Source organism: Homo sapiens, chromosome 5, assembly GCF_000001405.40.
Source record: "Homo sapiens chromosome 5, GRCh38.p14 Primary Assembly".
Classification (NCBI taxonomy): domain Eukaryota; kingdom Metazoa; phylum Chordata; class Mammalia; order Primates; family Hominidae; genus Homo; species Homo sapiens.
In genome coordinates, this window is record NC_000005.10 from 112,846,240 (window position 1) to 112,862,935 (window position 16,696).

The window sequence follows — 16,696 nt, forward strand, 5'->3', positions numbered from 1 at the left end:
TATAGGTCATACTGGTTTCCTTTCATTTTTTGATTTTCTATTTCTAATTTTCTGAATTACTGCATGCCAGTTGTTGCAAACCACTTCAAGTACTTCTATGGAAAGAGATGGATGTTAGTCAATTAGATAAACTTGCCTTTTAATTCAAATAAGGAAGAAAATATAAATGCTGAAAATGAACATTCCACATGCCAGAAAAGTGGAATTTTTGTAGGCAACACTTGAGTGGGGGGAGACGGGCCAGTCTATACTACCCATTGAAGTAAAGACTGCTGGATGAGGCCCTCTGTTAGAGATAGTGGTTCTGAATTAGTAAAGGGGCAAATCTCAATTCTAATTATAGATGTTCACAGGGTGCTGCTATAATCGATAGCAGGCCAAATATTCCCAGTTTATGCTTGTTAACAAATGGCATACTAAGCCCAGCGTTGGGAATTAGTCAGGAGTTACGATGCCTGTTTAGAGAGGAGTGGGGGAGGGAGAGTTACCTAACGTAAGGCACTTCAAAGGAGTGCGTTGGGATCACCAGGAGTGCTTAACAAGACATAGCTGGGCCATACCCCCAGTTTGATTCAGGATGTTTGGAATGGGGCCTAAGAACTTGCATATCTAACAAGTTCAAAGGTGAGGCTAATGCTGCTGGTCTGGAGACCACACTTTTTGAGAATTACTGCCCTAAGATCACAGTGAAGCTCCTTGAGTGGTTGCCTTCAGCTCTAGCGATTCCTCCCAACAACTGGACCCTTAATCTGACAAAGTATAGCAACAGATAAAAGACTTCCCCTAGGCATAAAAGATTTCAATATTAAGCCATCCAATTTCATAATGCTCATCTCAACTCCTGACAGCAGACAAACTTAGCCAGACATGAACAAACAAGTAATTCTAAAGACAGTGATTATATTTGAAGGATCAGTTAATGTTCCCTTTGAGACTGTCATTATAAAAAGCAGTAACTTCAGCAAAGATCTAATTTGAATTTTCAATAAGATTAAAAGACTATGAAAAGGGAACTTTGAGATGAGAGAAGGTTGATTTCAGATGAAAATATCCAGTTTTTTAATATACAGTGGAAGTGATCAATAATTAGCAAATAAGATATTTGAGGACAACTTTACAGATTACCAGGGTAATGAAAAGGAAGTAATCAAAGATAAGCCCCATAAGGATCAAATAGCACTGTAAGTACAGTAAAATGTTTCTTGATTAAAATATGGATCATGTTGCCACAGGTTAATTACATGAAAGAATGAATCTCTTGCAGAGGATGGGAGCCAGTTGCACAATATCTGAATATATGTTATCCCAGGGTTTCTTGGAATCTAAGGAAAAAAGCAGAGCACCAGAAATGCAAAAAGTAAATTGCCCATAGTTAAAGGAACATCTGAGTAGTCAGATCATTAAAATTTATGAAACAATTATTTTTCACAAGTCATGGTGGCTGAAATAGAGTGTATAATTTTTTTCCTTTCAAATAAGCGTATTTTCCTCATATTACACTGACTTAAAATTTAAAAATTACTTTGTAATGTTGAAACCTATAGACTGTGGCTCCTGTAAACCCCAGGTCATTTTCCTGCCATTCTTACAACTCTGTCTAAGATCTATAAAAGTATATTCTGCTTTTTGTTAGGCCATTCATGCTTTTTTCAACCTGTACATTCTATGTATATAATATTGTTCTTGGTGCTAAATACACTTTCTTTTATCTGATATTCAGGATAATTCTTTCTCTACATTTGTGACTATCCACTTATTTTCTCGAATAATTAAAAATATTCAACATAATGTATGTTAGTGAAGGTGACCAATGAATATAAAGCAGCATTAGTGAAAAATAACTATTGAAAAAAATGCCAAACATTAACTTCCCTACCTACACCACCTTTTGGAATCCAGACCCTTAGCCTCATTCACTGGTCACTGAACTACGTACCCAGTCTTTCTCCCTGACCTTGGCTATTTGTACCAGAGTTGTATCTGACCTAGAGGAGACTCATCATCAGCTGGTCAGTGACCAGAGACTTGTATAGCACTGCTTGGAAATAAAAAAATGATCAGGCCAATCAATTTGAAATAGTAACAAAGGACATTTCTGGCCGGGTCTTGAGTGCTGGAACTGAAAGAGCACGCACACAGTTAAGGCTCAAATTACTATGACTGGCATCATGAAGCTTAAACTAAGAGGAAGCCACCTAGTGGAGAAAGAGGAAAAGGGAACAGATACTGGGAGGACACATAGTGAGAGAGAGACAAGAATCACAAGCTCAAGACCAGCCTGGGCAACAAAGCGAGACCCTGTCTCTACAAAAAAAAAAAAAAAAAAAAAAATAGGGCCTGATGGTGCATACCTGTAGTCCCAGCTACACAGAGTCTGAGGCGGAAGGATCGCTTGAGGCTGTCAGTTCAAGACTGCAGTGAGCTGTAAGCCCTCCAGCCTGGATGACAAAGCAAGACCCTGTCTCTTAAAAAAAAGAAAAAAAAAATCCTAGGGGTAACATAGTGAGACCTCGTCTCTACAAAAAATTAGCTGGGCATGGGGCTACACGCCTGTAGTCCCAGCTACTCAGGAGGCTGAGGTGAGAGGATCGTTCTCGCCACTGCACTCCAGCCTTGGTGACAAAATAAGAACCTGTCTCAAAAAAAGAGTCCCTAGCTCCTGGAGTCACTCAGTTCCTGCCATTTTTGAGACTTTGTTCTACTTTTCCCGGTTTGGGGAGCACTTGTGAACCTCTCACCCCTCTTTGGTCCTGAAGTAACTTTAACAGAAAACCATATTTAGACATACAGTAAGTTTTAAAATTTCCAAGATAAGACTATAAAAACATCATTGGGGCCGGGAGCGGTGGCTCACGCCTGTAATCCCAACTCTTCGGGAGGCCGAGGCAGGTGGATAAGGAGATCAAGAGATCAAGACCATCCTGGCCAGCATGGTGAAACCCTGTCTCTACTGAAAATAAAAAAATTAGTCGGGTGTGGTGGCGCGCGCCTGTAGTCCCACCTAGTCAGAAGGCTGAGGCAGGAGAATCACTTGAACCCGGGAGGCGGCGGAGGTTGCAGTGAGCCAAGATCTCACCACTGCACTGCAGCCTGGGTGACAGAGCGAGGGAAAAAATAAATAAATAATAAAAAAAATTAAAAAAAAACAATAGGAAGAGAAGAATAGGTTGCCTTAAAAGAAAAAAGTTGGCATCAAATATCTCTGTAATACTAAATGTCAAAGAACAAAACACCACAAAAAATGGAACACAATACATGCGGCATTTGGAGGGAATAGAAATATTACCTAAGAATTCTGAAACCAACCATACTAACATTTCATTTATCAGCCTTTGGGATTCTTGTTATAGTTAAAAACAAGACCTCTAAATGACAAGATGTTTATTTAAAGAATATGAGGTAGCCCACAGGATCTGTATGAGGACTAGAAAATCAGCCTTAGAAACTGATTTTTCTAAGTGGATATTGTTTCACAGTGGAAACAATATCCAAACCATACTGTGAGACTGCAGTAAAGACTTAGATGCTACCCCTAAATGCTGGAATCCTCTGACACCATCGCCATAAAATAAGATTACATGTGGCACTCACTTCACGCTGCTTGCTTCTGAATTGAAGTCTTGCTTGGGTGGACGTGATTGGCAGAGGATGTATTGACATGCCTGTAGCACCTGGGAAAGTTCACTTTTTTGTTTCTCCATTGAGGCTGGATTCATAAAAATGAATTTCTCAAATCTATGAGTGACACTGCAAAAGTGCTTGGGAGCCAGAAACCATGACGTATTTCTACTACAGTATTCCAGCTGCCCCAGTAATTAAGATAAATGGAAAGGTATTAAGATTGAGCAATGAAATATTTAAACTTGAATAAATGTATAAATAATGTTGTTAACCTGATAATGAATCTCAATGTGAATGTTTAAATAACTCACAGAGAAACAATGAAATGCTTAGTAATTTAAATCATCTTAAATTCAAGATTATTCAACCCAGACGGGGAAATAAGGGTTAGAAGGAAAGGAAGAGGTTAAAACACACTGTTTTGAATTTTATGTAGGCAGTGTCAATAGATACTATTTTATTTTTAACTTAGAAAAAATACAAATTCAATTTTTAAGTTTAGTGGTCATGTCAATGTTTAAAAAAAGTATACTACTTTTTCCAGTTTGGGGAACACTTGTGAACTTCTAACCCCTCTTTGTTCCTAAAGTAACTTGAAACTAACAGAAAATCTTATTTAAGTAAAATTTTCCCTCCAAATCACTAGCTGAAAGATAACAGCTAAATTAGCCACAGTGAAGCATAAAATGACGGAATAAGAGTAATAAATGTATTAAACACATAAAATAGCCACTATCAGATTGGATAAAATGAAATCTCCCAACTATATCCCACTAACAAAACAGTCTAAATGATTCAGAATGGATACAATAAAAAGTACAACCACCTTGCAGAGGCAAATGCAAAGAAAACAGTAAAGGCAAATTTATGACAGTATAGTTCTCGATAAAAGGCATCAAACATGAAACATGATGACAACATTTGGTACTATAAATAATAACTTTTCCTTTTGTTTTGCACAGACTAATTCATCTGTAAAGCACTGGCAGCCTCATTGTTACCATGGTTTTTGTTAATTTCTCTTTGCATTTGTAATTTGTTGTTGTTGCCCAAACAACAGTCTCACTCTGTTGCCCAGGCTAGAGTGCAGTGGTGGGATCTCAGCTCACTGCAACCTCTGTCTCCCAGGTTCAAGTGATTCTCCTGCCTCAGCCTCCTGAGTAGCTGGGATTACAGGCATCCACCAACACACCCAGCTAATCTTTTGTATTTTTAGTAGAGACAGGGTTTTACCATTTTGGTCAGGCTGGTCTCAAACTCCTGAGCTTAGGTGATCCGCCCACCTTGGCCTCCCAAAGTGCTGGGATTACAGGCGTGAGCCACTGCGCCCGGCCTGTAATTTTGTTTCATACATTTGCTACCAAGGAGCAGTTATTATTTAAAAACTACAACTTCTGAGCTGGGCATGGTGGCTCATGCCTGTAATCCTAGCATTTAGGGAGGCCAAGGCAGGAGGATTGCTTGAGCCGAGGAGTTCAAGACCAGCTTGGGCAACATAGTGAGACCCCTGTCTCTATTTTAAAAATAATAGCCAGGCGCGGTGACTCACACCTGTAATCCCAGCACTTTGGGAGGCCGAGGGGGACAGATCACCTGAGGTCGGGAGTTCAAGGCCAGCCTGACCAACACGGAGAAACCCCGTCTCTCCTAAAAATACAAAATTAGCTGGGCGTGGTGGCCTATGCCTGTAATCCCAGCTACTCGGGAGGCTGAGGCAGGAGAATCACTTGAACCCAGGAGGTGGAGGTTGCAGTGAGCCGAGATCACATCATTGCACTCCAGCCTGGGCAACAAGAGTGACATTCGGTCTCAAAAAAAGTAAAATAAAATAAAAATAATAAAACCACAACTTCCTTTTAAAAAGGTGGATTCTGTGAAAGGACGTTTCTCAGAGGATCCTTTTCTTTAGCTGAGGACCTTTATGAGTTTGAAATCTGAAAAGCCAAGCCTGGAGTGAGTTGGGAGGAGAGTTAGAGAAAATTTAATAGGTTTGCTTAAGAGAGGTGAGAATCTGGAATTCTTGGGGTAGTCCAGGAATGGGAGGCTGAGGAGGAGAGATGGGAGAGAACAAAGGGAAAGAGGAGAAAGCAAAATATGGAGAGGTCAAGGTTCTAGGTGAAGTAATATGCCCATGATGCAGTGGCTAAAATGATTCAAGAAAGAGAGGTACATTATTTTAGTTGGAACCCTAGGTTCTTTGCAAAATCTCTATTCCAGTGTTAACGTATTCACTTGTTTTTAATTTTCAGGGTCTTTTCTTTACAATTGTAATTAGCTTCACCATCATAGTAACTATAATTATTTAAATCTAAGTATAAATTAGATTTCAGTATTCAGCACTGTTCTATATTACATGACTTTGATTTTCTTCAATTCTGTATGTTAATTTGGCTTAGCTGGAGTATTTCCTCAAATGATTATTATCTTTTCAGAAAAGCTAAATTAGGGTACTGTCTAAATCCATACTCGTTTTCAAATTGTTTTATTTTGCCCTCACACAAGGATAATTTGGGTCACAATTTTGGTCACAATTCTTTTTCTCAGAACTTTTAGATTTTAGCATTTACTACTGCTAAGAAGTTCCAGTATCATTCTGGGTTTCTTCCAATATAGATAACTTTTATTTCCTACTTGAGTGTTTATAGGGTTTTATTTTAAGCCCTTCAATAAAGAAATTTTACTAGCGTTAAGTCCAGCTGTTTGTCTTTTTTCCCATAACTCTTTTAATCCTGAATCTTTTCAATCTTGAGCCTTCAAGCAAATGTTCACATGTTCTTTCTTTTACTGTTACTTCCCCTCCATCACTTCTTTTCTCTCACTTTGCTGCATAAGAAATCAAGCCATAATATAAGGAATTTGGACCAGGCGTGAGGGGTCACGCCTGTAATCCCAGCACTTTAGTAGGCCGAGGCAGGTGGAACACGAGGTCAGGAGATCAAGACCATCCTGGCCAACATGGTGAAACCCTGTCTCTACTAAAAATACAAAAATTAGCTGGGTGTGGTGGCATATGCCTGTAGTCCCAGCTACTTGGGAGGCTGAGGCAGGAGAATTGCTTGAACTGGAGAGACAGAGGCTGCAGTGAGCTGAGATCACGCCACTGCCCTGCAGCCTGGATGACAGAGCGAGACTCTGTCTCAAAAAAAAAAAAAAAATGTAGTGGATACTGGGTCCAAATCAACTGTATCCACCAAAATGGCCCTTGTTATCAGAAACTGGGCAGTGCCTAAGTGGGGACTCTACTCTCAGGAGTTCTTGATGTCCAGAAGTTGCACTGCATTCCCCTAGATGTGGCAAGAACACCTGTCCTCCACTTTGGTATTAACATTTTCCCATAAGATTACCAAACCAGTACTGTTTGTGTTCAAATGCCTTAAGGTATTTTTAATGAAATAGTTTCATTAAAACAGATTTTAATGATAGCCTATTCTCCTAACTCAAAATATAGATATGAATCCTCCAGGGTCTGGATATGGAACACATACAAATCTTAGTGACAAACACCATGTTGTGCTCTGACAGTTTTCCCCCAGATGGTGACAGTTTTGTCATTGGGTCAAGCTGGTCTTCATAACTCTTAGTTGTTCTAGGGTAAATTCTGTGTTCTGTGGAATTGACTTCTGACAGAATGGTAGAACATATTTCCAAAAATGGCACACTATCTCCCATTCCACGTGCTTTTTTTACAGTACAAATCTATTGCCCCTCCTTTGAATCTGAGTTGGTCCTGTGATTGCTTTGACCAATAGGATGTGGAGAAAATGATCTTCTGGGACTTCCAAGACCAGGCATTAAAAAAGCCTAGCAGCTTCTACTTTGCCATCTGCAGGAAACTTGTTAAAACTGTAATGAAGACTTTTCTCAAGACTTTGGCAATTGGGGTATTGCAATAGGGGAAAGGGATTAGCAGCTAGAGATTTATAGCCAAAGGGGTAAGTGGATGGAAAATTGCTAAGGGAAGACATCAAGGATAGGGTGATCCTTGCTAACCTGACTTAACAGGTTCTTGCTGTAAGCAGGCCAAAGCCTTTTACATTAAAGGTGGGGGATGAGAAATCTGATTAGATTTCAAGGGTAGGGAAATTCTCACTAAACTTAGCAGGATTCTTGCTAAAACTAGGTTGGGCTAGACAGGTCAAAGAGAAGACTGGGGCCAAGGTCGAGACCTAGTTGAGAAGAGGATTCAGAGGAGACTGTTTAATGTTTGGTCAAGGAGAGAGTCTTTATCAAAGCCCAATCTAACCATATGGAGATGCCACACCACATGGAGATAGAGATATCCAACCAGCCTTCAGCTGTTCAAGCCATCCCAACTGAGGCAGACATAAACATAAAGTCATTGTGGACTTTCTAGCCCCAGCAGATGCCACATAAAACAGAGACAAGCTGGTCCTGTTTATCTACCCTACCCAAACTGCACTTTCATGAGCAAATAAATTTTTGTTGTTGTTTTAAAGCAGTAAGTTTTAGAGTGCTTTGTTACACAGCAACAGACAAGTGAGACAGGCAGCCATCCCCATTAGCTAACCAAATATGCCCAAGCGTGCCATGAATTTCCCAATAGACTCAACTCAAGCTCAGTCTGGGGTGATCCTGCTATGGCTGTATGCATATGAGTCTCACTCTTAGACCTGTGAGCAACTTGAACTAGATTCTTCATGTTAGGCTTTTGAAAGTTTAATTATAATGTGTCTTAATGTGGGTTTTTTTTTTTAGTTAATCTTACTTGGAGTTCACTGAGCTTCCTGGATGTTTATATTAATATCTTTCAACAAATTTGAGAATTTTTCAGCCATTATTTCTTCAAATATTCTTGCTGTCCTTTCTGTCTCTCTTCTCCTTCTAAAACTCCCACAATGTGTATATTGGTCCACTTGATGGTGTTCCAACAGGTCCCTTAGAATTTGTTTGCTTTTCTTATTTTTTTTTCTTTTGGTTCCTCAGACTCAGTAATTTCCATTATCTTCAAGTTTGCTCATTCTTCTGTCCGTTCAAAACTGCCTCTGACTCCCTCTAGTGAATTTTTCATTTTAGTTGCTGTATTTTTTCACCTTCAGAATTTCTTTTTTGTCTTCTTTTTAGATTTTCTGTCTCTTTATTGTTATTTCCATTTTGTAAATACATGGTTTCCTCAACTTTCTCCACATCCTCCTTTAGTTCTTTGAGCCTCCTTAAGACAGTTGTTTTAAAGTCTCTATCTAGTAGATCTACCATCAGATCTTTTTCAGAAATAGTTTCTGTCGATATCTTTTATTTACTTTTTCTCTTTTCACCCCTACTCTGAGATTTACCAAGATTTTTTCTCTTTGAATGAGCCTAATTTTCCTGTTTCTTCGTATGCCTTGTGATTTTTTGTTGAAAACTGGACATTTGAATCCAATGGCACTTGTTTTCAAACCTTATTTTTTATAAAACCATCTTCCTTTTCTTCAAACACATGTGCCACTAAATCCAACATATTAACCTTGGTTGAGGCTGCTGGCTGGAGATGGGGTTCACAAAGACAGAGAAGATCAAGGTAAGCAGGAGATGTGGTAACTCTGGAAATCAAATTCTCCCCTTCCCTGGGTTTTTTGTTTGTTTAATTGTTATAGGCTCTCTCTGTGCCAAGGTTCAACGTGAGGTGTACACTCGAGGTCTTCTCAGGTTTTTCTGATCCTAGTGTTTTCCTCGGAATGCATAGTTACTTTCTAATTTTCCTCATATATGCCATTGTTTTTGGATGTCCTAGTCTTTAATGCCTGCCTCCCAAAAGAAAAAAAAAAGAGAGAGAGAGAAAAATTAAGGAGGAGGGGCACCAGTCCTTTAAATCCCCTGGAAGTCACTTCAGCTGGAGAGAAGGGGTTTGAACCAATGAGGGGAGGTGCAAAATCCATGACCATCTGCCTCTTTGTCTGCACTTATATGATCAGAAGCAGCAATCAATGACCAGTGTACAGATGCCCAGTACTTGGAAGACAGGGTGCTTTTTGCCCACTCTGGGTCCCATAGGCTGTTCCTGGAATGCGTATACAGCTGACTATCACAGGGCTGGGGATGGGCATGGGTAACTGCTACTGTATTAAGAACTGACACTGACCAAAAGTAACTCCAATTTACTTTTAAATTCTTCCCCTGGAAGTTGCAAGCCTTCAATAGGCTCCATAGTTTCTAAATAGTTACATGTCACAGATTCTGCTAATGTAATCATTGTTGTGGTGGGAAGATGGATTCCTGGTTCTTTCTACTCCACAATGTGCTCAGAATACTCTCTCAATTTCTACTCAACTAAGGAAAATTTCTCTTGTTTACCTTGATCTTCTCTTTCTACCTTTGTGAACCCTACCTCCAGCCAGCAGCCTCAATCAAGGTTGATAAGTTGAATTTAGTGGCACATTTGTATGAAGAAAAGGAAGATAGTTTGATAAAAATAAGATTTGAAAACAAGCGCCATAATTCTATAAAGCCCTTTCATCATCTCCACAATTTTTCCATGTCCATTTTCATCCTCCTTTAATTCAGTCTGCCTTTCCACAAGCATAAGCATTTAAAAACTTCATATTTGGCTGAAACTTTCATTGTCAGTGTGGTAACAATATTGCATTCTTTCTCTCTTCCTCACCCCTCCTCTCTGTAGTTGTACAATATCTCAGCAATGGTGTGGAGTTTAATAGGAGTGTGGATTTGGCATTGAATGACACTAAAAAATATTAGCTCTGTCATTAATTCTCTTAATTCTCTTAGTATATATGAACCAGGACATGTTACTAGCAATTATAATATTGACCTTTTTGTCTCCAATTACTTAGATGGCTCTACAAAAACAATTCCATGGTAAGTAGGCTACTTGCATGTATTAAGCCTCAGGCTACCTCATTCATTTTCTACTTTTTAATATGTGTATGCGTACCCTAAGGCAAGAAAATTATGTATTTTAAAGTTTGGATTCATTTCATCTCTAAATGTACTCCTCAATTTTAGGTCATTGCATGACACTGTTTTAACAGGACTCATATACACTTTAGAAAGAAGTAAACGTTATTTATTTACATCAGGAGCAAACTTAATTTTGTGCTAAAAAAAAAAAAATACATGGAAGATTGAGAGACATAAGTGAGAACATGAAGGAAAGTCAGGGGCTTCCAGTCAGACTAGCTGACTGGAGCATCTATGCTCAGCCATTATTAGCATGAATGGGCTAATTATTTAACCTCACTGAGACTCAAACTTTCATGAAGATTTTTGTTGGTTGAGTTTGGTTTTTCAGTTTGTCTGCTTTTTTATCTGTAAAAGAGAAAACCTATCTCACTTTGCCTGGCTTTTTGAAGCATGTCTTTGTAGGTGTGGAATAAACATCCATTATTAAAACAGGAACGAAGGTAGGTTTAGTTGAATGGAGATGCTGAAATACTACTTTGCAATCAATCTAAGTTATGCAAAAAATATATAGGCATGCCTCAGAGATGTTGCAGGTTTGGTTCCAGACCACCACAATAAAGCAAATATCATAATAACGCAAGTCATACAATTTTTTTGATTTCTCAGTGCATATAAAAGTTATGTTTACATTATACTGTAGTCTGTTAAGTGTGAAATAGCATTATATCCAGAAAAATAATGTACATACCTTATTTAAAATACTTTATTGCTAAAAATGCTAACAACCATCTGGGCCTTCAGAAAATCATAATCTTTTTGCTGGTGGAAGGTCTTGCCTCAGTGTTGATGTCTGCTGACTGATCAGGATGATGGTTGCTGAAGGTTGGAGTGGTTGTGGTAATTTCTTAAAATGAGACAACAGCGAATTTTGCCACATCAACTGACTCTTCCTTTCACGATAGATTTCTCTGTAGCGTGTAATGCTGTTTGGTAGTATTTTACCTATAGTAGAACTTCTTTAAAAACTGGAGTCAGTCCTCTCACACCCTGCCACTGCTGTATCAACTAAGTTTATGCTATTCTAAACCCTTTGATGTCATTTCAACAATGATCACAGCATATTCACCAGTGGTTTTCATCTCAAGAAACCACTTTCTTTGCCCATTCATAAGAAGCAACTCCTCATCATTCAAGTTTTATCATAATTGTAACAATTCAATCCCATCTTCAGTTTCTACTTCTAATTCTAGTTTTCTTGCTATTTCCACCACATCTGCAGTTATTGCCTCCACTAATGTCTTAAAGTCCTCAAAATGATCCCAGAGTGTTGAAATCAACTTCTTCCAAATTCCTGTTCATGCATCAGCATATTTTAACCTCCAATGAATCACAAATGCTCTTAATGCCATCTAGAATAGTGAATCTTTTTTAGAAGGTTTTCAATTTATCTTGCCCAGATCCATCAGAGGAATCACTATTTGGCAGCTATAGTTTTACAAAATGTATTTCTTAATAAGAGATGAAAATAAAAATTACTATTTGATCTGTAAACTGCAGAATGGATGATGTGTTATCAGGCATGAAAACATTAATCTCCTTCTAGATCTCCATCAGAAACTTAGATGTCTAGAGGTCTAGGTGCATTGTCAATGAGCAGTAATATTTTGAAAGGAATCTCTTTTTTTTTTCTCTGAGTAGTTGTTTTCAACAGTGGGCTTAAAAATATTCAGTAAAGGCTGGGTGCAGTGGCTCACGCCTGTAATCCCAGTACTTTGGGAGGCTGAGGCAAGAGGATTGCTTGACCCCATGAGTTCAAGACCAGCCCGGGCAACATAGCAAGACCTTGTCTCCACTAAAAATAAAAATAAAAATCAGCCAGGCATGGTGGCATGAGCCCATAGTCCCAGCTACTCAGGAGGCTTGTGTAGGAGGATTGCTTGAGTGTGGGAGGTCAAGGCTGCAGTGAGATGTGATAGGGCCACTGCATGCCAGCCTGGGTGACAGAGCGAGACTGTCTCAAAAAAATAGTTCAGTAAACCATGCTGTAAACAGATGTACTGTCATCCAGGCTTTGTTGTTCCATTTAGAGAACACAGGCAGAGTTGATTTAGCATCATTCTAGGGTCTCTAGGATTTTCTGCATGGTAAATGTCCATTGGCTTTAACTTAAAATCACCAACTGCATTGTTCCCTAACAAGATAATCAGCCTGTCCTTGGCAGCTTTGAAGCCAGGCATTGACTTCTTCTCTCAAAGAGACAAGGATTTTGGGTGCTACATCCTAGATGGCATCTTTTTCCAATAGAAGGCTGTTTTGTCTACATTGAAAAACCTGTTGTTTAGTGTAGCCACTAAATGGGGCAGCTCTGAAGCCAGACATTGACTTCTCTCAAAGGGACAAGGATTTTGGGTGCTACATCCTAGATGGTATCTTTTTCCAATAGAAGACTGTTTTGTCTACATTGAAAAATCTGTTGTTTAGTGTAGCCACTAAATGATACTAGCTAATCATTGATCATCGTCAATGATATTAGCTACATTTTCTGGATAACTTGCTGCAGCTTCTCTATCAGCACTTGCTGCTTCACCTTGCACTTTTATGTTATATGTTATGGAGATGGATTCTTTCTTAAACCTCCTGAACCACCCTCTACTAGCTTCCCACTTCTGAAGCTTCCTCACCTTTCTCAGCCTTCACAGAATTGAAGGGAGTTAGGGCCTTGCTCGGATTAGGCTTTGGGTTAAAGGAATGTTGTGACTGGTTTGAGCTTCTATCCAAACCCCTAAAACTTTCTCCATATCAGCAATAAGGTTGTTTTGCTTTCTGATCATTTGTGTGTTTATTGAAGTAATTTCCTTTTAATTCCTTCAAGAATTTTGTCTTTGTATTTACAACTTGGCTGTTAGGTGCCAAGAGGCCTAGCTTTCAGCCTATCTTGGCTTACATATGCCTTCCTCACTAAGCTTAATCATTTCCATCTTTTGACATGTGAGACGTGTGACTCTTCCTTTCACTTGAATACTTAGAGGCCATTGTAGGGTTACTAACTGGCCTAATTTCAACATTGTTGTGTTTCAGGGAATAGGGACTCCAGAAGAGGGAGAGAGATGGGAAATGGCCAGTTGGTCGAACAGTTAAAACATACACAACATTTATCCATTAAGTTCCCCATCTTATCTGGGCATGGTTCATGGTGCCCCAAAACATTATTATTATTTGAGACGGAGTCTTGCACTGTCGCCAGGCTGGAGTGCAGTGGTGTGATCTTGGCTCACTGCAACCTCCACCTCCTGGGTTCAAGAGATTCCCCTGCCTCCCGAGTAGCTGGGACTAAAGGCCTGTGCCACCATGCCTGGCTTATTTTTTATATTTTAGTAGAGATGGGGTTTCACCATGTTGGCCAAGATGGTGTCTATCTCCTGACCTCGTGATCCACCTGCCTCGGCCTCCCAAAGTGCTGGGATTACAGGCGTGAGCCACCGCACCCGGCCTTAAAACTATTACAATAGTAACAGCAAACATCACTGATCACCGATCACCATAACAGAAATAATGAAAAGGTTTGAAATATTGCAAAAATTACCAAATGTGACACAAAGTATACGCTGCTGGAAAAATGGCACCAAGCAACTTCTTTCAGGCGGATTTGCCAAAAACCTTCCATTTGTAAAAAGGCAGTATCTACTCGCAGCAGCAAGTGAAGTGCAATAATGAAGTATGCCTGTAGTGATGGCACATGGTATCCTTCAGAAGTTTTAAAAGGTGAATAGTTTTGTTTCGTTTTTCCTAGACGGAGTCTTGCTCTGTTACGCAGGCTGGAGTGCAGTGGTGTGATCTCAGCTCACTGCAACCTCCACCTCCTGGGTTCAAGTGATTCTCCTGTCTCAGCCTCCGAGTAGCTGGGATTACAGGCGTGTGCCACCACACTCGGCTAATTTTTGTATTTTTAGTACAGACGGGGTTTCAGCATGTTGGCCAGGCTGCTCTCCAACTCCTGACCTCATGATCCACCTGCCTCAGTCTCCCAAAGTGCTGGGATACAGGCGTGAGCCACCGCACCCGGCCTAAAAGGTGAATAGCTAAGTTTCTAACGCAGAGCACACTGAAACACAACGTCTATAACTTTGCTAGTTCTACCACTACAAAAATCCATTTTGCCAAACTGAAAGCAAGCTCTAGAGCCCAGGAACGGAGAAAAATTAAACGTAAGGAGTATTTCCTTCCCTGTCTAACATATATTTGCATCCTGAACCACACAGATTCCCCTCGTGGCACAGTCTTCGCCCCTTAACAGAGAGTAGCTAGTACCACCCATACTCGCTGAGAAACTGGAAACGAGGGAGGGTCGAAGTTAAACCCTTTTTAGTGGCGGTGCATGCGCCCCACATGGTCTTCCCGGCTTGGGAAAGGAATGAGAAGCTTTCATGATTCTCTCGCGAGAAGGGAAGTCTTCATGCCACGTCAGAGACTAGAGATCCTGGCGCCGAGCGACAGGTGCCGGAACAAACAGGCGATGAGAAATCGCGGACGCGGAACCATTTCTTGGGCAGGACTTCCGGCGGAAAAGCGGGCTGTCTCGGAAACTCAGAGCCGGGTTCCTCCCGGGTTTCTGCCGGGTTTCTCCCTGCGGCTCCTGGGTTGTTGAGACTCTTGTGAAGATGGCTTGCGCTGCCGCGCGGTCCCCGGCCGACCAGGACAGGTGGGTTCTGAGGCGGTGGGTCCTCCGAAAGGAAGGGGCTTGCTGTGGTGCTGCAGGTGCTACACCGCGCTTCTCCGCTCCGCGGCCTCCAGAATGGCCTAGCTGATCCAACTCGCTCTGTACGGGCCCCGCGCCTCTCCCTGGCAGCTCGTTTTTCTGAATCCTGCAGCAGCCACCAGGCTCTTCTCAGGGCTCCTGAAATTCCGACCATAGGTAGCCTAGTGTTTATCTGTACGCGAGACAAGGATTTTGGGTGCTACGTGGACATGATATCAAGTAATATAATCACAGTGTGAGAAATGTGTTCTTTTTAAGTATTGTTGCGTTCAGAAAGGCTCATTTGTGAAATTTTAAGGTTTTTAATACCTCGGACACTTTATATAAGAGGGCGGGCCCATTCTCAGGAACTTTTGACGGGCTGCTCTGTCTAATGTAACAGTTACCCAAGTCGTTTTGTTTCTATTCCTGTGGTTTTTTTCCATCCAAGGTAGTGGATAAAGTTTATTTTTAAATAAGTTAAAGTGAGGTAATTTAAAGAAATAACATTAAGCAAATAATAGCATAGGTGTACCAGCAATGATGACGACTACCACGGACCGAAAGAATGTATTTTTGAAAATACTTGTTATCTGTTGAGTGTAGTTGTCCAGGTTCTTGGCGTTTTGAATAAGGAATTGAACAAAACACACAAAGCAAGGCAGCGAAAGCAGATTTATTTTAAACAAAAGTACACTCCACAGGGTGGGAGCCGGCTCCAGCAAGCTACCCAAGAGCTGTTGGTTACAGAATTTTCTAGGGTTTAAATACCCTCTAGACGTTTCCCATTGACCTGTGCCAGTCTGATTGGTTGAGGGAGGGGGATCAATCAGAAAGAGGAGTAGGCCCGCGGCCAGTCTGATTAGTTGCTCGAGGGGACCACTCCGAGGTACTTTGATTTTTCAACTGCCACGCAGAAAAAGGAGGGGTTGAAAAGGGAGTACCCATCTGATATCTAGGCAGCATGAATTGGCCTTTGGTTCCCTGCCACCCGACCCTTTTCTCCTGCCTCTTACTGCTCTAGTGATACCACTTATGCTATTGTCTATGGCAGGTTTATTTGTATCTATCCTGCTTATTTAAATAATAAGAAGACCATCGCAGAGGGAAGGCGAATCCCCATAAGTAAGGTAAGCAAGATGGCTGGCACCTTGATCCTCGAGGGAATGGGGGGTGTCATCCTGGTCGGGCCACGTAATCTTGTTAGAGCCGCAGGGGGTTCTCTTCACTGCATTTATTTAGGGCTTGAGAACACAGCCAAGAATTGGGGTGCGTTCCTCAGTGTTGGTGAAACCAGAAAGGCATTAATTCATAGCTGAAGGGATATTTTTTTAACGTCTCTTAATGAGCCTTTGTTTGTAAAGGAGTGGGGGCAGAGTGTAGAGTTCACATGTTTTTAAAACAAAGGTTATGACGGTGTTTCCCTTGATATAGGAAATCAAAATTATGACATTGTACGATACATTAATAATGTTCAGAATG

The 16,696-nt window shown here is 40.6% G+C and overlaps 1 protein-coding gene across 5 annotated transcripts in view, besides 4 other annotated features; it reads left to right on the forward strand.

Annotated features, from left to right (window-relative positions):
* Positions 14,813 to 15,107: an enhancer, noted in NCBI's record as "tiled region #9882; HepG2 Activating DNase matched - State 1:Tss, and K562 Activating DNase unmatched - State 1:Tss". NCBI's record gives its function as "activates a minimal TATA promoter and a strong SV40 promoter by Sharpr-MPRA in HepG2 and K562 cells {active_cell/tissue: HepG2 | K562}" and the evidence as "EXISTENCE:reporter gene assay evidence [ECO:0000049][PMID:27701403]".
* Positions 14,813 to 15,345: a biological region, named in NCBI's record as "Sharpr-MPRA regulatory region 9882".
* Positions 14,866 to 14,945: an enhancer, noted in NCBI's record as "active region_22911". NCBI's record gives its function as "activates an Ori minimal core promoter by ATAC-STARR-seq in GM12878 lymphoblastoid cells {active_cell/tissue: GM12878}" and the evidence as "EXISTENCE:reporter gene assay evidence [ECO:0000049][PMID:35858748]".
* Positions 15,046 to 15,345: an enhancer, noted in NCBI's record as "active region_22912". NCBI's record gives its function as "activates an Ori minimal core promoter by ATAC-STARR-seq in GM12878 lymphoblastoid cells {active_cell/tissue: GM12878}" and the evidence as "EXISTENCE:reporter gene assay evidence [ECO:0000049][PMID:35858748]".
* The window catches only part of SRP19 (signal recognition particle 19), a 37,085-nt gene continuing 35,436 nt past the window's right edge, over positions 15,048 to 16,696 (forward strand). For 4 of the 5 annotated variants that reach the window (NM_001204199.2, NM_003135.3, NM_001204194.2 and 1 more), the window contains exons 1-2: positions 15,048 to 15,178; positions 16,269 to 16,344. In NM_001204199.2, coding sequence (NP_001191128.1) covers positions 15,138 to 15,178; positions 16,269 to 16,344 — 117 coding nt within the window. In that variant the 5' untranslated portion in view covers positions 15,048 to 15,137. The remainder of the gene's footprint in view (positions 15,179 to 16,268; positions 16,345 to 16,696) is intronic. The other variant, NM_001204196.2, reaches the window with a different exon arrangement.